The sequence below is a fragment of the Homo sapiens genome, chromosome 11 (assembly GCF_000001405.40).
Source record: "Homo sapiens chromosome 11, GRCh38.p14 Primary Assembly".
Classification (NCBI taxonomy): domain Eukaryota; kingdom Metazoa; phylum Chordata; class Mammalia; order Primates; family Hominidae; genus Homo; species Homo sapiens.
The window spans coordinates 109789201-109814473 of record NC_000011.10 but is presented as its reverse complement, the minus strand read 5'-3'; the positions used below and the strand labels follow the sequence as shown (position 1 = coordinate 109814473).

Below are 25273 nucleotides of genomic sequence, written 5' to 3'. Positions count from 1 at the left end.
ATTACTGTTGGAAAAAAGAAATGAAGGAAGGAAGGGAGAAAGGAAGAAAGGAAATGCAGAAGGAAAGACGGAGAACCAGGAAACTAATGAGTTCTTGATTATCTCATCTCTAGCTTTCCAAATATGTACTTAACCATCTGCGTGTGCATGTACCTTGCTTATCCCCACAACCAACAAATCTGGGTGAGATGGATCCCCATCCCTCTACAGTCTTGATGATTCCTTTTCTAGAGCTGATACTCAACCATTTTAGTAACGGTTTGAGAGCAGAAGCCTCCCTGGGAGGAAGCAAGGGTTCCTAGGAGAATCAGGGAAAGCAGTAACCTTAAGCAAGCTTTTGTCAAGTTCAAATATTGGATTTGGTAGTAGAAACTAAGTCAATAATGGACTACCGAAACATCTCAAGAGTCCATATAGGTTGTAGAGACTCTATATGCCCAAAATGTACACAAAATTTCTGAAACAAGAATTTAGGAAAAAAGGGAATCCTATGTGTGAAATTTGTGCTACAGGTATGCATGATAACAGTTACCATCTATTGAATGCATAAGTATGTGCCAGCACTGAGCCCGTTTCCTCTGAGACTTAGAGTGTATATTAAGTCCATATAGAAGGACTTGGAGAAAGAAGAGGCCACACAATTTAGGCTGTACAAACCAACATTAGAGTCTCTTATCTCTCCCAAGAAGTGGTTCTCAATCATATTCACAAGGAGAACCAACAAATTAGAAGGTACTATACATAAAAGAAGCTTATAGATGAAATAGTTCGCGATCACACGTGCACAGTTTGGTTGCAAAAATTCAGTCCTCCTCCTCTTCCTCTCTCTTTCTCTCATATTAGATCATCTGGAAAGATGAAGGTGAGCTAAAAGAAAGATTATTTGCCCCCATTTGAATAGGAGAGCAAGTTGTCTCCTGGGACTTCTAGTGGTGCGGTTCTATGCTCATATTTTCAGAATAGTACACTGAACAAACTTTCTGATTCAGTAACGAGAACACCTGGAGCCACCTGGCATCTACTTTTCAAATCTTGGTATTTATGAATATTTACATTTTTTTTCAAATCAATGTAGCTCTACCCAAGACTCTCAAGTGTCCCACGCATACAGATGGTTTGGTAGGTCCTGATGGTGATATGTATTTTTTTCAAATCTTATTGCCTTGCCTGAAAAACAGCATAGCATTGTATAACAGGTGCGAACAGTGGAATACAAGGCTCTCTATGTCTGGAGAATCATCTTCTGCCCTAAAGTGTCTTCCCACCTCCTCAATTTCCCTGCAGCTTCTTTTCTCCTGCTGGAAGAGTGGGTGGAGTGGGGGGGTTGTGGCAATATTTTATATTCCATTTGCTGCCTTCTGTTCTTGTTGTCTCTGATTTTGCATATGCCTTTATCAAGGACTGGAGATGCACATGGGAGAACTAAATGATGTGATTTTAGGTGTCCTGGGAAGGACAGTCTGCCAAGCACAGATTGCTACCAGGCTGTTTACTGTGGGTGCCCGTATTACACCATTGGTTAGTGTTCCTTTGGGTTTGTGTGTGATTTAACTTATATGATCAACTAAAATCTGTGCATGGAGAAAATGAGAGTGCTGAAGGGGAAAAAAGAGTGAGGAGGGATGGTTGATAAATTAGGGGTTGCCCTTGGAAGGGGGGCATGATAGAACAGCCCAAGAAGACTGAGACTCTAAGATAGGAGATGGATTCAGAAAGGGAAAAGAGGAAGATGCCAAGCATCAGCTCCCAGGGGTATACTAAGTCCTTAGTCACATGTACTGTCCTTTCTCCTTGGGATGCTGGAGAAACTGATGAATCTGGCTTCATTTCTTCCCCCTGCTCCTGTCCGCTACTGCATCCCTCCAATGCAACATATTTTCCTGCCTTAACTTTCCTCCTCTATGAAGAGCACCAACATATGACCAGGAGGCCATACCTAAGCAGATATCACCCTCACCAAGTCCTAGAGACTTTACATTTTCATGTCCTCCCCCATGTTGCCAATCTTTTTGCTACTACCTATGGTGAGTGCTCACCATTTCTTAGCTGGAAGCCTGGTAATCTCACCTCTAGTTCCATCTCTCCAATTATTGCTATGCTTTCTCAGGACCTTTTCAACAGTTTCTCACTAACTGAAGAAAGCATTATTATACTATCATTCACTGAGTTTTTATCATTTTCCATAAATTGTCTGCAATCCTTATAGTAATCCCACAAGGAACATGCCATCATTCAGGAAGTAAACCATATACCTTACATTTGGATGCAGGGCTTATTGATTCCAAAGCCTTGTTCTTTTCACTATTCTTCTCCCAGCCTGTTCTCCACGCTCACATCCATCCATCCATCCATCCATCCATTCTGCTTCCTATTTCTCTGCCTGTGAATCAGTTTCTATACACTTGCAGTATTGAAGCTAGGAGTCAGCTTTTCCAAGACACCCCTTTCAAATATACATTCAGTATGTCACAATTTATTTTGTGAGCCTCTTTTAGACATTCATTACATTCCCTATTACCCTCCAAGTCTGTAAATACCATGAGGCTGGAGACTGTCCACATATGTCATTTCTCTTTCCTCTCTCCATCCATCCCTGCTTTTTTTGAGAGGGATTTAAGGCTATGAGGGTAAATATTGGGTCTTTTATCTTCACATTCCCACTGCTTAGAACAGTTTCTGATACATAAGATGTGATGATTAAAGGTTTTATGAATGTATGAATGATATCAATAAAACTCTGTGAAGTGACAGCTAAGAATTAAAAAAGTCTCCATTTTAGCAAAGATGAAGGTGAAGCTTGGACAGGTGGGATGGGCCTGTTCAAGGATTCTCACAACTTATTAACACAGACAAGACCTTGATATTTATCTCCTAATTCAGTGAGACAAAGCTGCACCACAACTTTTATGATTTTTGTTGCTTTTACTTCATTTCTATTCAGAGATCTTCCTTCTTCTCTCTCTTCCTATTCTACCAACTCCTTCTCTCTGAAAAGAAGCCCAGGGTTTTGCCAACACCTCATTCAGACCTTAATGCACATGAATATCCATACATTTGCTTTTCCCTTTATCCCTGCTCTCATTTGGCAATTTGCCCATCTCTTCACACAGAGGTCCCTTCCAATAAGGCAAGAATGAAAGTTCAACTTTTTCAATTTTTCTGATGAAATATCATCTTTGCCTATTTAAGAGCTTTGCATCTTGACTCTAGATTATAGAGCACATGGATTTCCATTCAATTAATAACAGAGGAGAGCAACTCTTTAAGAACTACCATTCATCTCAATTAGAAATTGATTGACATTCAGCCCCTGTCAAAAGCCCAGTGAGGCAGTCAATATTTGACAGGGCCCAAGAGATTGATTAATTATTAACTCTTCAGTATTTTCCAAAATTCATTTCTTTATCCAATCTGACTATGGGAAATTTACCTAGCCTCCCTACAACTCAATTTCCTCTTCTGTTAGTGAGGATAATTATAATGATACCTACTTCATATTGTTATTGCGAAGGTTAAATGAACTAACTTACATAGAATGTTTGAGTGCCTGGAATAGATTTACATTTATGAGATTGCTGTTTTCCACGCCCTAGGATTTCATAGAGAGTTGAAAGCTGTATTTGAATAACCTGAATTTTTGTGAAACAGAGACTGCCATTGAGGACAACGTTGTTCAAATTTCCCCTTTCTAAAGGATCTTTCAGGAAAAAAAGGAAAAGGAAAAAAGTCCTTCAGATTTCAAGACTAGAAAAGAGTTTGTCTTTTCTGTGAAACTCCATGTTTCTTTTTCTAGCAAGTAAGACATGCATGAGTAAGAGCTCTTGTTATTTCCGTCTCTGTTTTAGAAGTTAAGAAGTATAGAGCTGAGTTTTATGTTCAGAGATAGAAGTTTCCTGATATCAGCATTATCCCTTTTATATTTCCTTTTTCTAATGATACTAACCTAATTATAACCTGTCTCAGATATCTTTTTGAAGTCCTAGAGAATAAGTTCATCAGTAGGCAAATAAGTACATGTATAGGCACAAAAATATTTTCTTGGTCTTTAATGTCATATTAAGATTGACATTAACGATGATGAACCCTGCATTCAGGGCAAAGGGAACTGTAGTAGGCAGAATTCCAACATGGCCCATAAAATGCCCACCCACTGATGCACATGCCTAGTACAAGTTCCTCCCCTTAAGTATAGGTGGAATCTGTGAAAATGATGGGCTTTCACTTCCACAATTAGGTTAATAGTTGGTGTCTTTTAGATAATCAAAAGTGGGGTTATCCTATGAGGGTCTGACCTAATTAGACAAGCCCTTTACAAATGAAGTGAAATATTAGAGTGTCTTGTTAGCCCCAGAGAAGAAAGCAAATATCCATGTTGTGAAATGCGTATCACGGAGACCACATGGCTAGGACCTGAGGGTGGCCTCTAGATGCTGAAAGCAAACTCATGCTAGCAGCCATCAAGGGAATGGGAACTGAATTTTGACAAAAACTGACCACATGGGGAAGAAAGCTTTTAGCTCCAGATGAGAATGCAGCCTATCTCTGCTCATGTAAAACCATGAGCAGAGAACCCAGTTATGCTGTGTCTGGACTTCTGACCCGCAAATATTGTAAGATAATAAATAGGTGGTTTTAAGTCACTAAGTTTGTAATCATTTGTATGCAGCAAAGAAAACTAATTTTTGTTTCTAATAAACTAAACTAAAACTAAAGCTCTAAACAATTCTTAGTACAAACAAATATGGCTTATCACCAACTCATTGTTGAGGTTGTCCCAATTCTCTTTCCCATGGGATACTAATAGGTAAAATGGAGAGAAGGAGAGAGAGAGAGAGAGAATTAATGTCATGCCAAGTGGGAGCTATGTCACATTTCAAACATCACTTCCTCTGTGTTTTGTTTGTATGTTTGTTAGATGTGAATAACTATTTTTACCCATATTCAAAGGGAAAGGAATTAGACTTCATCTTTTGGATGGAAGTGGTGTCAAATAATTTGCAGATGTGTTTTAAAAACACCACATCTCCTGTTGTCCCTTACTTAGCATGGGACCATGTTCTTATGTTCTTTCTGAGGCCAATGGAGCTTCAGAAATAGCCATCTCTGTCTATATATTTTAAAAACTGATGTATAGTTTACAAATAGTAAAGTACAGAAATTGAAAGTGTATAGCTTAATGAGATTTTACATATATGTAAATTTTACACATATGTGCAAATTGTACATGTATATATGCACATCTCTGCCTGCCAGATCAAGCTATAGAACATTTCTAGCATTCTAGATGGTTTTATCATGTCTCATCCCAGTCAGAACTCACCATAATGTTTCATACTACTCCAATCTCCATCATCACAAACCAGTTTTCCATGTTTTTGCCCCTCATATAAGTTGAATTATATTGTATATACTATTTCTTGTTTGGCTACTTTCACTTCGAATGTTTTTCAGATTTTTTCTATTTTGAATTATATATCATTCATGAATTATCTTTCTTATTTCTGTATATGATTGTATATTATTCCATCATGCAACTATACTACAGTTTATTCATTCTAATATTGAGGCCATTTGAGTGGTCTACAGTTTTGGGCATTGATGAAGAATACTGCTATGAATATTTCTGTTCATGTCTTTTTGTGAACATAAATACTCATTTGTCTGGGTATATACTGAGGAGAGGAAGTGCTGAGTCATAGAGTGGGAGTATGCTCAGCTTTAGTAGATATTGGCACACCGTTTTCCAAAGTATTTGTATCACTTTAAAGTTTCACCAGGCAGTAATTTAAGCCCTGCTGATGGGCTATGTAGGGATACCTCATGTGGCTTTAGTTTGCATTCTTCTGATAATGATGTTTAACACCTTCTCATTCATTTATTGATAATTTGGCTATCTTCTTTATGAAGATATCAGATATTTTGTTCATTTTTTAATTGCATAGTGTAATTTCTTCTTACAGACCTGTGGAAATTCATTAGATACTTTGGATACAAGTTCTATTTGGATCTATGTAGCACAAATAGCTTCTCCCTGTCCTTTTCCTTTCTATTCTCATAATAGTGTCTTTTGATAAAGAGAAGTCTGTAATTTTGACTGAGTATCATTTTTAGTCTTTATGATTAGTGCTTTTGGTGTCTGTTTAAGAATTCTTTAATTATCCTCAGTTCTTTAAGATAGTCTCCTAAGTTTTCTTTAAGAAATTTGGTTATTTTATCATTCACTTTTAGATATATGGTTCATCTTGCTTTAATTTTTTATTATGGTGTGATGGATTAAGGCTATCAACATGGATATCCAATTGACAGTACCATTTATCAAAAATAACATTCTTTCCCCCACTGAATTGTAGTGGAGACTTGCCATTAAATCTGGTGTCTGTTATGTTTGGACTTACCTCTGGGATCTTATCCTGTTCCATTAATCAATTTGTCTATCCTTTTGCCAATATCACATTTAATAACTGTAGCTGTATTATTAGCCATAATAAGCCTGAAAGTTAAGATATTTAAGTTCTCCAGCTTTTTTCATCTTTAAGTTTGCGTTGGCTATTCTAGATTTTTTTGTATCTCCATATCATTTTAGAATCAGTTTGGCAATTTAAAAAAATGTGCTGGGGTTCTGATTGGGGTTTTCAATTCGATTATGTGAGAAAGAATTGACATCCCAGCCTAGCATGAATTTTCTAATCCATGAGCATTGTATATCTCTCCATTTGCTTCATTTTTTTTTGTTCTTTCTTGCAGTAATATTTTATTTTTTAGTGCAGGAGTCTTGCTTGTCTTAAAAATATTTACTCTTAGGTATATGATGCTTTTGGTGCTATTCGATATGGTATAACTTTCATTTTTATATTTCAATTATTTGTTTCCAGTATATAGAAATGTAAAGAATTTCTAAATATAAACTTTGTATCCAGCAATTTTTAAAAATTCAGATATTAATCCTTATAATTTGTTTGTTGATTGTTTCAGAATTTTTATATATAATCATGTCATCTGTAATACATTTTTTGCCTTTTATTTTTGAGACAGGGTCTCACTCTGTTGACCAAGTTGGAGTGCAGTGGTGTGATAATGGTTGACTGCAGCCTCAACCTCCTGAGCTCAAGGGATCCTTCCATCTCAGCCTCCTGAGTAGCTGGCACTACAGGCATACACCACAAAGCCCATTTATTTATTTATTTAGTATCGCTATGTTGGCGAAGCTGGTCTTTAACTCCTGGGCTCAAGTGATCCTTCTGCCTTGGCCTCCCAAAGTGCTGGGATTACAGGCTTAAGCCACCATCCTGGCCACCTCTTTCTTTCTAATATTTATGCTTTTGATTTCTATTTCCTGCCATATTGTACCAGCTAGAACTTCCTGTACAATGTTGAATAAAACTGGTGACAAAAGACATTCTTTTCTTGTTTCAAAATTCAGTAGAAAGTGTTCAATAATTCACAATTAAGTATAGTGAATTAATGTGAAGTAAAGTGTAGTGATAAATGTAGGTTTTTTTGTATATTTATTTATTATGTTGAGAGTGTTTGTTTCCCTTACTAGTTAGTTGAAAGTTTTTGTCATGAGCAGGTATTAAATTTTATTACATTTTTTCCTGTATTTGTTGATCCCATGATTTAAAAAAATTTTCAATCAAATGTGATTTGATTGATTTTGGATGTTCAATAAGTCTTGCATTCTTGGAATACCAAGCTAACTTGGTCATGATGTATTTCTTTTTTTATATCATTGATTAATTTTGTTAGTTTTTTTGCATCTAATAATAAGATATATTTGCCTATAATTTTCCATTCCTATAAAGTCATTTTCAGGTTTTGGCTTTAATATTATTCTTAAATCATAAGGCAAGTTTGGAAGATTTTCTCATTTTCTATTCTCTGGAAGAGTTTGTATGAATTTTTTTATTTGTTTCTCAAAAGTTTAGAAGAATTCACCACTAAAACCATCTGGACCTGCGAATCTCTTTTTTACTCACCATAATTTCCTTGAGGTTCATCCAAACTGTTGTATCTATCAATACTTCATTCTTTTTTGTTGCTAAATAATATTCCATGATTTGGATGTACCACAATTAATTTAACCACTCACCCATTGAAGGCCATTTGAGTTGCTTCCAGATTTGGCCATTTAGATTAGATCTGCTATGAACATTTATTTACAGGTTCTTGAATGAACATAAGTTTTTATTTTACTGGGATAAGTGCCTGAGAGTATAATTATTGTCAAATTATTTTCCAGAGTGGCTGAACCATTTTATATTTATACCAGTAATGCATGAGTAATCCAGTTTCTTTGCATGCTTGACAGAATATAACATTATAACTATTTTTTATTTTAGTCATTATGAAAGTTTTGTAGTAATACCTGATATGGTTTGGCTGTGTTCCCACCCAAATCTCAACTTGAATTGTATCTCCTAGAATTCCCATGTGCTGTAGAGACTGAGGGGGAGGTAATTGAATCATGGGGGCTGGTCTTTCTTGTGCTGTTCTCATGGAAGTGACAAAGTCTCATGAGATCCGATGGGTTTATCAGGGGTTTCTGCTTTTGCTTCCTCCTCATTTTCTCTTACTGCCACCTTCTGCCATTCTGAGGCCTCCCCAGCCATGTGGAACTCTAAGTCCAATTAAACCTCTTTTTCTTACCAGTCTTGGGTATGTCTTTATCAGGATCATGAAAACAGACTAATACAGTAAATTAGTACCAGTAGAGTGGGGCATTGCTGAAAAGATACCCAATAATGTGGAAGTGACTCAGAAACTGGGTAACAGGCAGAGGTTGGAACAGTTTGGAGGGCTCAGAAGAAGACAGGGAAATGTGAGAAAGTTTGGAACTTCTTAGAGACTTGTTGGATGGCTTTGCCCAAAATGCTGATAGCACTACGAACAATAAGGTCCAGGCTGAGGTGGTCTCAGATGGAGATGAGGAAGTTGTTGGCAACTGGAGTAAAGGTGACTCTTGTTATGTTTTAGCAAAGAAACTGGTGGCATTTTGCCTCTGCCCTAGAGATTTGTAGAATTTTGAACTTGAGAAAGATGATTTAGGATATCTGGTGGAAGAAATTTCTAAGCAGCAAAGCATTCAAGAGGTGACTTGGATACTGCTAAAGGCATTCAGTTTTATAAGGGAAGCAGAGCATAAAAGTTTCGAAAATTTACAGGCTATGTGATAGAAATGAAAAATCAATTTTCTGGGGAGAAATTCAAGATGGCTGCAGAAATTTGCATAAGTAGCAAGGAACCTAATGTTAGTCCCCAAGACAATGGGGAAAATGTCTCCAGGTCATTTCAGAGACCTTCATGGCAGCCCCTCCCATCACAGGCCTGTAGGCCCAGGAGGTAAAAGTGGTTTCGCAGGTCAGGCTCAAGGTCCTGGTGCTGTGTGCAGCCAAGGGACTTGGTGCCCTCTGTCCTAGCCATTCCAGCCAAGACTGAAAGGGGCCAATATAGAGCTTGGGCTGTGGCTTCAGATGATGCAAACCTCAAGCCTGGGCAGCTTTCACATGGTGTTGAGCCTGTGAGTACACAGAAGTCAAGAAGTGAGGTTTGGGAACTTCTGCCTAGATTTCAGAAGACGTATGGAAATGCCTGGATGTACTGGCAGAGGTGTGCTGTAGGGGTGGGACTCTCATTGAGAACCTCTGCTACGGCAATGTGGAAAGGAAATATGGGATCAGAGCCCCCACATAGAGTCCCTACTGGGGAACTGCCTAGTGGAGCTGTGAGAAGGGGGCCACCATCCTCCAGATCCCAGCATTGTAGATCCAATGACAGCTTGCACTGTGCACCTGGAAAAGCTGCAGACACTCAAAGCCAGACCATGAAAGCAGCTGGGAAGGAGGCTGTATCCTGCAAATCCACAGGGGCAGAGCTGCTCAAGACCATGGGAACCTGCCTCTAGCATCAGTGTGACCTGGATGTGAGACATGGAGTCAAAGGAGATCATTTTGGAGCTTTAACATTTGTCTGCCATGCTGGATTTTGGACTTGCATGGACCTGGCAACCCCTTTGTTTTGGCCATTTTCTCTCACTTGGAATGGCTGCAATTACCCCATTCCTGTGCCCCCATTGTATCTAGGAACTAGCTAGCTTGCTTTTGATTTTACAGGCTCATAGGCAGAAAGGACTTGCCTTGTCTCAGATGAGACTTTGGACTGTGGCCTTTTGGGTTAATGGTGAAATGAGTTAAGACATTTTGGGAAGATATGATTGGTTTTGAAATGTGCTGACATGAGATTTGGAGGGGCCAGGGTCAGAATAATATGGTTTGGCTGTGTCCCCACCCAAATCTCAACTGGAATTGTATCTCCAAGAATTCCTACATGTTGTGAGAGAGACCCAAGTAGGAGGTAATTGAATCATGGGGGCTGGTCTTTCCTGTGCTATTTTCGTGATAGTGAATAAGTCTCATGAAATCTGATGGGTTTATAAGAGGTTTTCACTTTTGCTTTCTCCTCAGTTTCTCTTGCCACCACCATATAAGAAGTGCCTTTCACCTCCTGCCATGATTCTGAGGCTTCCCCAGCCATGTAAAACTGTGAGTCCAATTAAACCTATTTTTCTTCTGAGTCTCGGGTGTGTCTTTATCAGCATCATGAAAACGGACTAATGCAATATCTCATTGTGGTTTTAAGTTTCTGAATTTCAAATTAAGATGTTCAGTCTTTCTTCTAGCCTCCTGAACATACATAGTACCATTTTGAAGTGTTTTATTATTCTTTTATACTAATTCTATCACTGTTGGCATTTCTGGATTGGTATATTTCTTCTCATTGTGATTCTAACTGAGACTAATATTTCTTCTCATTGTGAGTTTTATTTTTCTGCTTTCTTTCATGACTGAGTAATTTTTGATTTGATATTAAGCATTGTGAATTTAACCTGTTAGGTGTGGAACACTTTTTGTTCCTATATATACTCTTGTTGTAGTTCTAGGATGTAGCTAAATTTTATTTGAAACAGTTCAATCATTTCTGGTAATGATTTTTTTTTTCAATCTTTTAAAGGTGGGGCCGAGCATACTTAAGATAGGGTTAATTTTCCTCCACTACTGAAGCAAAATAGCTTTGCTTACTCTATTCAACGTCCTGTTACTTGATAAGATTTTCCACTCTGGCTTGTGACAACAGCAACTATTTCTGGCCCTGTGTGGTCTACAGAGATTGTTCTCTCTAATCATTTTGGGTGTGATTCTCTAGCCTTGGGTAGTCTCTTTTCATACATATTGATTAGTACCCAGCTGAAGATTCAGGAAGATTCGCTGCATATCTCAGGAGCACGCTCTGTCTTTCATTCTCTCTGAAGTTCTCTCTTCCCTAGTACTCTGCACTGTAATGTCTAGTCTTTTTTTTTTTTTTTTTCTGCTTTGTCTTATTAACGCAGAGAACTTTCTGGAATCTTTTTAGTTTCTTCCTCCCTGTGCCACTGCATGGGATATTCTTTCCAGGAAATAAGCTGATGAAATTTTAGGGCTCACTTCCTTGGTTTTCTGAGTCTCACAGATCGCTGTTCTTTGTTTCTTGATGTTCAATATCTTGAAAACTGTATTTTCATATATTTTGTCCAGTTTTTTTTTTAACTATTTTATATGGTAGAGTAAATCTGTTCCCTGGTCCCTGTTTCTCCATTTTGGTTGATGGTGGGAATCTTGTCAAAAAGTTTTACTTTAGAAGATATTTACAAACAATCTGTTTCAAATTCAATTTCATTATAGGTGAGTTATTCCTCCTTTCTACACTCTAGTAATTATGATTAGCATAAAAATGTACTTTACCTTTAAGGTTACAAAAAGTTCCTCCCAAGTCATTTAATATCTATTTTCACATAGTCTAATTGGGTCCCAGCCCAGAGTAAATATTCTTCAATGAGGAGTTATCTCCAGGAAATCTGCTAAGGATTCACAGTATTATAGAATTTTATCATTGGAAGGTTCATTTGAGAGCTTTCAGGTTGCTGAACATGAGGAGGTGCTGGGAAGGTGGCACTGCTAGAGAGAGCATGGAAGCACCATGTCCCTTTCCCCTATACTTTGCCCTATTTATCTCTTCCATCTGGCTTTCCTGATTTGCATCCTTTTACAATAAGTAGATGAACATATGTCAAGTGTTTTCCTGAGTTCTGGGAGCCCTTCTAGCAAATGACCAAACCAGAGGAGGGGATTGTGAGAATCCCCAATTTATAGCTGGTCAGTCAGAAGTACCGGTACCAGAGGCCTGGATTTGCAATTGGCAAGTGGGAGGCAGGAAGGAACAGGTTTGTGGGACTGAGACCTTGACTTGTGGGATCAGAAGACAACTCCAGGTGGCTAATGTCAGAATTGAATTGAACTGTAGGGCACCCAGTTGGTGTCAGAGAATTGATTATTAGAGAAATCGCCCCCCCAACATTTGGTCACAGAAGTGTTCTGTGGTGAGTGTTGAGAGTAGAGAAAGAAAAAACAAAGTTTTTCCTTTAATGTAGGTGGTTGTGATGCAGGGTATATTTCGATAGAAACAATGCAATGAATTTGAATCTACATCATTGACATTGTATTATAAACACAGTCACGTACATTTTAGGTTAAATAGATTTTTGTACACTGACATTTGATTCGATCCCTGGGACTTTAGAGGAAAATGCATTTGGGCTCTAAATCAGAATGCAAAGAAATCATCTTCCCTTACTGGTTTCTGTGACTTCTGTCAGCAGTTTTAGTTGACAGGAGCCCCATTCCAAGCACTTTTTCCTTACCAGCAAATTGTTAACTAGTTCCATTTTTTCATTAACATTGAAAACTCTCCCTTGAATGAAAAAGAAAGAAATTTTTGGGGGGAAGACACAGGGTGTTGGGACTTACACTCAATAGATTTTTTTCAGAGAAATTTATCTACATTTGTGTTTGGTATCCCATGTTTGTCTGTTAGAGACTTTATCTGTCAGGCTGAATTTACCCCCAGGCTTTCTAGGTTGTATTTTGTTGTGCTTAGGTCTGTATACAGTATTATATGGGAATAGAAATAAAATGAAACGATCTCATCAAATAATTATACTTCTAGGAATTTATTCTAAGGAGATTATGAGAAAACTATGAAGAGGCACGTGTATCAAGTTGTTTGTCTTAGGCTTGTTTATAATAACAAAATTTAGACACGAGTTAAATGCCCCTCAATGGGAGATTGACTAAATCAATATGTGCATATCCATACAACTGCAAACTTCATAGGCATTATAAATAATGATATAATTCTAGATTTATCCATATGAAAAGATAGACATAAAGAATTATTAAATAAAAAAAGGTTTAAAAAGCTGTTAATAGGTGAACAAATTTATTTAATATTTTATGTAGGGATGTGTGTGTTAAGAATGGATTGTCTTCAAGCTTATTGATCAAACATTCGTATAGTTACGTGTCTAGTTGATGGGACTTCGTATGAATATATTTCTTTCTACTTCATGTATAAATTTTACTACAAACTGCACAATAAGGCTGTTTGCATTTTGAAAACTAGTCAAGAGAGTCTGTGCCCTGTAGATTTTCAGTTTAGAGAGTCAAAAACAATCAATGAAAAATATGAGACAATTTAGTATATAAATAAACACCAAAATATATCTTACCTGACTTAGAACCAACATGAGTTGAAAAAAGAGGAAAATATATGTAAATTTAACAAAGGAGAGAGGACGTGACCTGGACTTTGAGAGAAATTGTAGACAATGGATAGAACTAGGGACCCAAATGCCCATCAATCAAAGAGTAGATAAAGAAACTGTGGTATATATATGTGATGGAATACTACTCAGCCGTAAAAAGGAATGAGTTAATGGAATTTGCGGTAGCCTGGATGGGACTGGAGACTATTATTCCAAGTGAAGGAACTCAGAAATGGAAAACCAAACATTCTACATTCTCATTCATAAGTGGAGCTAAGCTATGGGGATGCAAAGGCATAAATGATACAATGGACTTTGGGGACTCTGTGGGGGAAAGTGTGGGAAGGGGGTGAGGGATAAAAAACTACAAATTGGGTGTAGTGTATACTGCTCTGGTGATGGGTGTACCAAAATCTCACAAATCATCACCAAAGAACTTACTCAGGTAACCAGATCCCACCTGTTCTTCCAAAACCTATGGAAATAAAAAAATTTAATAAAAAAAATAGAGAAAGGAGAGCATTCAGACAGAGGGCAATATGAGTAGTAAAGGAAGGTCTGATTTGGTGGGCTGGCAGCATGCAGGAGTGGAAGATGAAATTGTATAGACAATTCGGAGCCAAATTATCTTCTAAAATCTGCAACAACCATAGCAAGTGTACTTGATTGTTTCATCCTTTTTTGGGTTATTTTAAAGCAGATCTTCAATGCTATTGTTAGATCTTTCTTGTCAAAGCACTTTGCAAGTCCCACATCATTCTGTTCTTATCTTCCTCAATCTCTTCAGTTCTGTGGTTAGGGGATCCTGTGCCTTCCCTGACCTCACTTTGCCTCCTGTTCCCTTCCAAGTTTACTTTATCATAGACTGTATGTGGCCTGTAATACCGTGTCTTTGGAATCAGATCTGATTTGAATCCCAGTCTTGTCACTTATTATCTGCATATGTTGGACGAATCACATTAATGCCTCAAAACTTTCATTTCCTTATTATTAAAATGGTAGCAATAATAGTGTAAAATAATAGTAATAATATAGCATGATAATAATAATTAATAATAATAATTGTTCCAAATAAAATGGAACAATTATACTTGCTGCATTTTACTTGGAGCAATTATTAATTGTCTTGGAGACAAGAGGGAAATAGAATGTTAGCATGTTTCTTCCTCTTCTTCTCCACTTCTCCTCTTTCTCCTCCCCTTTTAAACTATAATTTGTCATTTCTAGTCATTCAACTAGGAAATACTACAGAATTTCTAAAATCTAAATGTATTAGATCATCATTAATTAGCTTGAGCATTGTGGTAATTAAAAGCTAAGATTTATACATTATCCTTTCCATGTACATTTTAACGAGGACCTTCTGGAGACAAATTGCTTTAGGATAGAACAGTGTTTTAAATGGTGAGAATGTTAGGCCTTGTGGTGGACCAGTGGGAGAGAAAGTTCTACAAGAACACTCAACACATATAGCACATATTTCCTCCTGTTTCTGTAGCACATATATTACACACTTGGCTTGATTTACATATTCATCATTTGAAATTTGAAATAAGTTTAATGGAAACTATCATTCCCACTTTAGAGTTTTGAATTCAAGACTCGAAGAGAATCGTGATTTACATTAGATGATTAAAAAATGTTAAAAGTTATAATTGATTGATCACCTACTATGTAGCAATTTATATCCATATACCATTGAATCCACAATCTACATTTTATGGATAAGGCTGAAACTCAGAAAGTTTACATAACTTACCAAGCTAATACAGTAAGTGATAAAGCCAGACTTCATGACATAACTCCTTTGCTCTAATTGTGGTATTTTTTACATTCATTTATTCAAGAAATGTTTATTGTCTGATAGCTACTTTTGATATATCATTGAAAGTTGCATTTCAGTGGATAGTATTAATGGCTAACATTTAGTGCTTCCAATGTGCCAAGAACTGTTCTAAGAGTTTCCATATATTTGCTCATTTAATCCTCCTAACCACCCACTGAGAATAGATGTTGTTATTATCATCACCATTTTTAGGATAAGGAAGCAAAGAAGCTAAGTATTTTGGCCAAACCACAAAGCTAATAAATATTAGAGTTAGCTTTAGAGTACTTGGCTTGAATCCTTGACCAGTGCTTTATGCATTCTTCCATAACACATGCTACTGTATATTTAGCAACATTGGTGATAAATGGGCCAACGACTGGGAATCCAGGCATGACAAAAATTATCCTCCAGGATTCTGCATAGATGCCACCCTATGGTGGTGAACTGAACTGAACTGAAAGTGCTGGTGCTTCCTGGGGTCTCAGAGCTGTCATACCTCTATCATTTAGTATACCATAGGAATGTGAATGACAGCGGACTTACATCACTGGTTTTTAAACTTGGATGTATGCTGATATCACCAAAACAGCTTAAAACATACTGATGCCAGGACCCTATACCCAGAGATTTTGATTTCATTGGTCAAAGATGTGGCCTGAGCATCAATATTTAAAACATCTCAGGTGACTCTAATAGGCAGCCAAGTTTGAGAACCAATGACTTAGATCAGTAGTTCTCAAAGTGTGTTCTACAGACTTCAACAAAGTCCTTTCAGGGAGTCCGTAATTTATTTTCATAATAATATGAAAACAAAAAATTTTCATAATAACATGGAAGCACTAGATTTCATTTTCACTATGTTGACATTTGTACTGATGGCACAAAATCAATGGTGGATAAAAGCGCTGGCGCCTTAGCATGAATCAAGCCTGAAACACCAATTTTTACAGGAACATTGTATTTTTCACTGCCGCACACAGTAAAAAAAATCAGTTTTATTGAAAAATTCCCTCAATGAAGCAGTAAGAGATATTAATTTTATTAAACCTTGAACCTTGAGTATGTATCATTTACATCTTCTGGGTGATGACATAAGAAATGTGTGTAAAGTACTCTGCTGCACATTGAAGTACAATTCTTGTCTTAGGGAAAAGCACTTATGCAGTTGTTTGCGTTGTGAGCTAAACCAGGATAGACGTTTTTTTCTCTCTCTCTCTCTGTCTTTTTTTTTTTTGTGGAACAGCATTTTTTTCTTGGAAGTATGACTGCCAGAAAAATTATCGTTGTTTAAACTTGGGTATTTGGCAGATATTTCCTCAAAAATGAACAAAGTAAGACTTTCCCTTTAGGGAAAACAACTGACAATTTTCCTTTGTTTGTTGCCAATAAGAAAATTTTGTCTTATAAGTGAAAATTAAAACTTGCATCTGCCACTGTGAGCTTGGCTGCTTCCTCATACTTAAAGACATTTCTGAAAAGATCAATGGAAATATTTAAAAAGTGTTTTTTTGATAGCAGATAATGATATGTTAATATTCATAACAATGAATCAACAATTTCTAAATGATTGATACATGATAGAAGATCATGCATGGGTAAAAGTTTCATTAAATGTGCGAGATAAACCGATAGATTTTAATGTAACAGAGTATGATAAGCACAATGATATGTTTCTAGATTCCACAGCAATTAATCTGTAAGGAACCAACACTTGTTGAAATTTGGTGTAGTATCAAAGAAGACTATTCATAGTTCCCTGAAAAGACTATTAAAATACTTCTCCATTTTCCAGTTACATGTCTGTAAAAGTTTTTCCTCATGTCCTTCAAATAAAGCAAAATATCCGAAGAAATTGAATGTTGAAATCAATGTAACAATCCAAATATCTTCTTTTAAGTCAGATATTAGAGAGATTTGCAAAAATGTGAAACACATTACTTTTTTCAATTTTTATTTTTTGGGTTGGATAATGTAGCTATTTTTCATAAGGATAATATGGAATGGATTTTATTATTAAGTGAATAAATAATCTGTTTATCAATTTTGTTTTTATTTATAACTTAGTAAATATCAATAGATGTAACCCACATAAATTTTCTTTGGGGTACTCAATAATTTTTAAAATTGTAAAGGAATCCTGAGTCCTCAAAGGTTGAGAACCACTGACCTAGATCATTCTTGAACTTCTTTACTCTTACTTTCCTCTATGACCTGTGAGTCTCCTCCAGGGTTGATTCTGTGTTGGTACAGCTTGGCCAGGATCTGTCTCTGGATTCCTTATGTATTACCACCCTCATGAGCCTGCTGCCTTGGATCCAGGCATTCATATGGTGGCCTTGGTCTAGTGGCAACCTCTCGCATTCCTTGAGGTAGCATCTTTTGTGCCCTTACCTTCTCACCTGCTGCTTGGTGTCAGGTGTTTGCCATTCTTTCTGATAGGTGAGGAACTACGTCTTCTTTTCATGTCCTGTGAGAATTGTATATGGGTGGGGTCTCCTAATGTAATCACTTGGTGACTCAGTGACAGGGTTCTTTCATCTTTCTGTATCCCAGGGTCCATGAGTACTCCCTAGAAGTGAAGATCAAAGCAGGTTCAAGAACAGCTTCATGCTGTGTTTAGAAACATTGTTTCCTGTCAGATGTGATTGTTAAGAAGGGTGCTCCTGCCTGACTCCCTCACTTATGGGGATTCCCCATTCTGAAGTGCAGGTCCTCTCTGAAAGCTGGATTCTTTTAGTACATTCTCTCCGTCCTTCAAATATGTCTTTATATGCCCAAGACTTTCTTATGAGCAGGGTGCGAGCTGTTTTTAACAGTGGGGTTCCTGTGTCCCAGATGGATGAGAGGATGAGGATACATATCAATGGCATGAGAGTCTACAACAGCACATATCTCAGTGTGACCTATCTGGACACCTATGTAAACACCTGCCACTTTACTGGGTACCTTCACATCTAGAGTATTACTAAACAGAGGTGTCGATTAAAACTTGCTTCAGGTTCAACTTTTTGTCTGACCTGGTATCCAAACCTAGTTTTACATGGGATCTTTACTTATTCCACTATATCCCTGAAATGAGAAAACTTACTCTCATCCTGTGGGCTCCTTTATCTCTGACGTACTGCTTTGTGCATTGTGTTCTGGGGTGGTGAATCCTTGAAGAATCATCTATTTCATAGCATCCACATTTGGAAACTTCTGCTGGCTTACATCCTTGACTGGGACTGCATACTGTTTTTTGTTTGTTTGTTTTATTTTATTTATTTATTTTTTAAAATTTGTCTGCTTTCTGCCTAAGCACCACTGAAAACAGGCAATAGGAAAGACAGCCCTGGAACCTTTTTGGGGACACCATAGCACTCAGCCATGTTTTATTTTTCACTTTTAATACAAGCACTCCCGTCTCTGATTCTGCTTTATCTAAATGCTCTATTTGTTATTTTAAGCTAAAAACACAAGCACTTTCAGAAGAAAGATACCTACTAAATGTGACTCACAAATAAATGAATAATGATGTCATCCATTGGCAGAAGGTTTGAGGTCAATAAAGCGCCCTTGGTCCCTCGCTTCTGGGTCATCATTCATAATGTTCTGTAAGAGTTGCACCACATACTCCAACTTATAATCATGTGAAAGTTAATATTAACCAACGCTTTTGTGTTCCCAAACTCCCTGTGGCCTAACTCAAGGCACTTTGAGACAGCAGGCCTCTTATAAAGCTAAATATATAACCAAGTAAGAGACAGTCATAAAAGTATAGTTGAAAGAGACTCAGAGGCTGTTTTTATGGCAGCACTAATGGTTGATTATACGATGCAATTTTAGAGACTGACCTTCTTGGTGTGATCCTCCCATCATCTTCTTGCTGCAATTTGGAAGCTGATTCTTAGCTTTTTCCCCAGATCACAAGTTCTGCGTGTTAATTTTATTTTGGTCTCATTTTCACTGCTCAAGGTTGGTCACACCACAAATGGATTAGACTGCCTTTTACTGGAGTAAAAGCATTCAACCTCCATGTCTGTCACGGTATTTATTGCTTTCTAGCACTCTCACACTCATTCTGGGTCTCTCATGGCAGTGTTTCTTGGCCTTGTCTTCACTAGTAGTGCTCAACCTTTGGGTCTGCCCTTTCATTTCCCCAGGTTACATGGGACAGAGTACAAATCCCTACTGGTATATTTAGGGAAAGGATTACTATAACAATAAACTCCTAAACAATAGTGCATTTCAATAAAATTCTATTTCTCACCCTCTTAAGTCCTGTGAAATTTTCTAAGACATGGTGACTCAGAGGCCCAGACTTCTTCCGTCTCATGATTTCTCCCTGATCTACAGTCTCACCATTCTCTGACAATAGCCAGCAAATGGTGAAAAAGAGGTTGGAGAAGGCACATCCGCTTCTTAACTGCCTTTTTGCAGAAGATACATAATATTACTTCCGCACAGTTTCCCTTGGGGAGAATTATTCACATGGCCCACCAGCATGCAAGGACATCTGGGAAATGTAGTTGCTGGCTGGGCAGCCATTCCCCAGTGCTATGGTCTGAATGCTGATGTCCCTATAGAACTCATATTATGGAAAATAATAACCAATATGATAGTATTAAGAGATGGTGCCTTTGGGGGAAGTGATTAAGTAATGAGCATTGTGCCCTCATGAATGGAATTGGTGCCTTTATAAAAGAGGTTGAAGGAAGCTGCCTCGCCTCCTTTCCACCATGTAAAGACACAGTGTTCAGCCGTGTGAGGAAGCCGATAAAAGGTGCAATTTTTGGAGAGCGAGCCCTTACCAGACACTGAATCTGCCAGAGCTTTGATCTTGGACTTCCCAGCCTCCAGGAATGTGAACAATACATTTCTGTTATTCATAAATTACCCAGTCTAAGGTATTTTGTTATAGCATCCAGAACTGACTAAAACACTGTAATAACTCTATAGTATGGAAGGAGTAGCACAATAATTTTTATGTAGTAAAATATATACAACATAAAATATATCATTTTATCTATTTGTAAGTGTTTAGTTCAGTGACCTTAAATATGTTTACATTGTTATACAACCATCACCACCATCCATCTTCAGAACATTTTTTATTTTCCCAAACCGAAACTCTGTACCCATTAAACAACAACTTTATATTCCTCTCTCCTCCTGTGACCCTGGGAATCACCCTTCTACTTTCTGTGTCTAGGAATTTAACTAGTCTAGGTACTACCTATAAATAAAATAATACATTTTCCTCCATTAAAGCACAGAAATTTTTTTTTGTAAAAAGAAAGAAAAAAACAAGTAAAACCATACAGTATCTGTCCTTTAGTGACTGGCTTATTTCACTTAGCATAATGTCTTCAAGGTTCATTCATGTCAGAACTTCCTTCCTTTTCAAGGAGGAATATTATTTCCTCACATACAAATACAGACTGAGTATCCCTTATCTGAAATACTTGAGACAAAAGTGTTTCAGATTAGGGATTTTTTTTATTTGGAATATTTCATATACATAATGATATATCTTGGGGATTGGACCCAAGTCAAACCATGGAATTAATTTATGTTTCATATATACCTTATGCCCATAGCCCAAAGGTAATTTTATAAAATATTCTAAGTAATTTTGTGCACAAAACAAAGTTTGTATATATTGAACCATCAGAAGGCAAAGCTGTCAGTTTACTAAATATGTTCTCATTATTCAGTTACTTTGATCTACAGACAAAAGTGAGAAATGGGGGTTTCCACCACAAATTCATGGAAAACAAAACCTTACAGTACAATATTTCTTAGAGAGTGAAATAATAGACATTGGAGACTCACACGGGAAAGGGGTGAGGGATAAGAAATTACCTAATGGTTACAATGCACACTATTTGGCTGATCGTCATACTAAAAGCCCAGACTCCACCACTACTCAAAATATACATGTAAGAAAACAGCACTTGTAACCCCTAAATCTATAAAAATAAAAAATTTTAAAACTTAAAAAAAATGAAAGCAAAGGTGTCGCTATCTCAGCCACCCATGTGGATGATCTGTGGTTGCTTAGCATCACCATCATTCCTAACTCTGAATTTATATTCTATCAAAAGGAGTCATTTTCTTACACGTGTTCACACATAAGTACTTAACAGTAAGAAATATGACATAATATAGTGAAAGTTCAGTGTAAGGAAGCAGCACAGTAGCATCACCAGAATACCTGTATCAGCTGTTAAATAACAGCAACAATAAGCAGCAGCAGGCTTCCAGTCTCCACCTGCAATGCTGAGTTTTGATTAAAATGATACTATATGCTGTATTTTATTTTATTTTATATTAGGTGAGAAGAAACATTAGAAGCAATTGAGAGACCAGGAAATAAGTCTTCTGGGGATGAGGAGGCATTCTTCTGGGATGCAGTTACATCTTTGATGCTAAACTCCTTTTTGCAATCTGCACCCACCCCTCCTCATACTGCTACTAGTATGCTCCTTGAGAAAGTGTTTTGTATTTACTCCTTATTGATCTGGACCCTGGTCACAGAGTTGAATTAATGAAGTCACACTTGGGGGAAAGTACATGACATAGACTTTACTTCTGATGAGAATTTCAGCTGGAGGATGAGCAGAACAGTTGGCAGGAAATAACAAAATCTTGCAATCATCATCCAGTCCAGCTTCCTTGCAGTGAGCACAAGGCACTGGTACAAAATGTTTTTGAAACCAATTAGAAAAAATGTCCCTGGGTGGCTTGTGCCTTTTTGTTAGGGTAATAACGGACTGGTAAGAAATTCACTTACCAGATTGGAAGGACACAAGCTTTTACCTATCAGCAAGTTTACACTTAGGCATGCCTACTGCATTAGCACATCCCAGAACAGTTATTCTGTCCTTGGCATCCTTAATTCAGTAGGAGTTCTTCAGCTGCCGTCAAGTCTTCCTTCTATGACAAAATAGCGATGTTTCCTCAGCATTATAGATTTGTTCTGGTGGCATATTTTCATCAGCATGACCTTGGCAAACTCATCAATAAATTTATCTGCTGCTTCATGATCAGCAGATGCTTTATCACCACAAATCTTTAAATACTGAATGCTGTGTTTTTCTTAAATTCAAGCAGCCTATTGAATATTCATAGTTCTTTCATTTTTCAGTTCATTGTGATAGATCTTTGCTTGCTTCATGATCAATATGTCCTTAAGTGGCATGTGTTTACTGCAACACTGATGGATTTACCCTTGTAATACACAATCAAGATCTTCGTTTTTAGCTTTAGGCAGTGTTTCTCCACTTTTCATTAACTTCTGTTCATCCCTTCAGCATGGAACTTCAACAGTTTATCCTTCTGTTTCTTCAGGTCATATACGGTGGTCATTCTAGTACCATACTCTTATTTAAGATGTTTCACACTTAACACTTATGTCACTGTCCAGTTTTACCAACAGCTTAACTTTCTGTGCTGTAGATAAACATAAATGCTTCCTCTTTTTAAAAAAGTACTCTTGCCCATAGGGGTAGCTGCAGGCCTTTTTGGCATTCTCAACAATATATTTTTGCCACAGAGCACAGAATAAGTAAGCAATCAAAACAAAACAAAAACAGTGAATTTTGCATATAGGTCTTGGCCCCATGTGGGACATTGTGGGGAACTTGCTATTGTTGCGTTCTGCCTGCATACATGCCATTTTATTACTCTTTGTGGGAGTGCTTGTGTGGGGGAATGTGGGCACGTATGGAAAAGATATCTCACAGCTAAAGGGGGCTGGGTGGGTCTTTTTCCCTTGCAGATGCTGAATAAACTGTGTTGTGTGCCCATGTTTTGATTACAACCCATTACATGAAGTCAGGTGTGGAATTTTCCCCTTGTGGCATCACGTTGGCACTCAAAATCTTTTGGATTTTGGAGCATTTCAGATTTCAGATTTTCAGAACTGGGAAATCAACTTTTTTATCATTTTGTTTTGTTTATCCATTCATCTGTTGATGGACATTTGGGTTGCTTCCACCTTTTGGCTATTGTGAGTAATGCTACTATAAACGTGGGTGTACAAATAACTTTTTGAGTCCATGCTTCCAATTCTTTTGGGTATGTGCCAAGAGTGGGAATTCCTAGGCTATATGGTAAATATATTTTTATTTTTTGAAGAACCACCATATTGTTTTCCATGGTGGCTATAATTTTTTACATTGGAGGAGCATGATTTTTAATAAGTATTTCTGCAACACCAGTCTTTGGTTTATCAGCTCTGTGACCTTAAACAACTTAACTTCATGAATCTTTTTCCTCAGTTAGAAAACAGAGCTAATATCGGCCGGGCGTGGTGGCTCACGCCTGTAATCCCAGCACTTTGGGAGGCCGAGGTGGGTGGATCACGAGGTGAGGAGATTGAGACCATCCTGGCTGACACGGTGAAACCCCGTCTCTACTAAAAAATACAAAAGATTAGCCGGGCGTGGTGGCGGGCGCTTGTAGTCCCAGCTACTTGGGAGGCTGAGGCAGGAGAATGGTGTCAACCCGGGAGGTGGAGCTTGCAGTGAGCTGAGATTGCGCCATTGCACTCCAGTCTGGGAGACAGAGCGAAAAAAAGAAAAACGAAAAAGGAAAATAGAGCTAATATCTACTTCACAGTGATGTTGTGGGGATCTAACAAGGTGATGTATGTGAAGCTGTTTGCATGGTTACTGACACATGATGTGTAATTAATGTGTTAGTAATGTGTTAGTTTTTTTTCTTTTCCCCCATCTCCTCACATACAAGATTATCATATCTTTCTTTTCCTGTATTCAGTGACCTTAGAGATTTAGTTGGTAGAAGTTAGGTTTGTAAGAATTAATGGGTTATTCATTCCAAGCATACCATCTGGGACACAGTTTTTTCAAAAGGAGGAATGTGAATGCTAAGATGGTGAGAAGTTCCATGCTGGCATGTGAAGAAGAGATTCTTAAACAGGAAAGCCTACAACTCAACCCCTTAGGTTGTACTTTGAGATAACTTCTCTACTTAATTAGGTGCTGAGTCTCTAGGGAAAAACTACTCAGCAACTCGGTGACTAAATCATTCTTGACAAGCTTTTTCACTTTCAAGTTTTAATTAGTATTGCTTATCCTAGTTGAATAGTTTTCAGCTATATATCTCATTTTTTTTTCTTCTTATTTCAGACTGGCTATGCAGATTAAAAAAATAAAGAGTAACACTTGATACCCATCTAAAAAGCCCGCTGACTAGTCCACCAGAATATTGGTGTCAGGTCCAATGATAATGCCTTCAGAGAAAGTCAATCCTCATCTCCCTTTCATCTTCCCTATCCCTCACCTTCATACTGGCATGTGGGGGGCATTCAAAGCTCTTTTGTCCACTTGAGCAGCCCGAGGCAAGTCTTTTCTGGTTTTCCAGTCATTAACTAGAGTAAAAATTCTGATTCTGGGCCTCATGCACAGAATGGGTGCATCACTAACTAAGGTGGTGACCAGGGACACTCACTTCCCCTTTGCCTATCAGCTTTTTTCGCTTATAATTTGAAATAAGTAAATTAGACCGAAAATTGAATTAGATTATCTGACAGAATTTTCAAAACTCCAAATGATCTACGAGGCTCTGTTTTCCTTGGCAATTTGAGGTGCTGTGTGATGTCTTCCACACCTTTTATCAAAGCTAAGGAGACGTTTACCAGCAGGAAGTCGTTTTTCCTCACAGACAGATCTACTTGTGATCAAAATGTTTGAGGATTATTGTGTTCTTACATGGCAATACACAATCAAACACCAGATGCTCAGCATTCAAAACTAAAAAAAGCAGATGAGCGATTTGATCTCTTCCATCTGATAAAGTCTGATAAC

The 25273-nt window shown here is 37.5% G+C and overlaps 1 long non-coding RNA gene across 12 annotated transcripts in view; it reads left to right on the top strand.

Moving 5' to 3' along the window:
* Positions 1-25273, top strand: part of LINC02715 (long intergenic non-protein coding RNA 2715) — an 82249-nt gene that overhangs the window by 9400 nt on the left and 47576 nt on the right. For 4 of the 12 annotated variants that reach the window (NR_187371.1, NR_187372.1, NR_187376.1 and 1 more), the window contains exon 3: positions 10461-10538. The exons of the other annotated variants lie outside the window; for them this stretch is intronic. This is a non-coding gene — a long non-coding RNA (long intergenic non-protein coding RNA 2715). The remainder of the gene's footprint in view (positions 1-10460; positions 10539-25273) is intronic. 12 annotated transcript variants of the gene reach the window in all.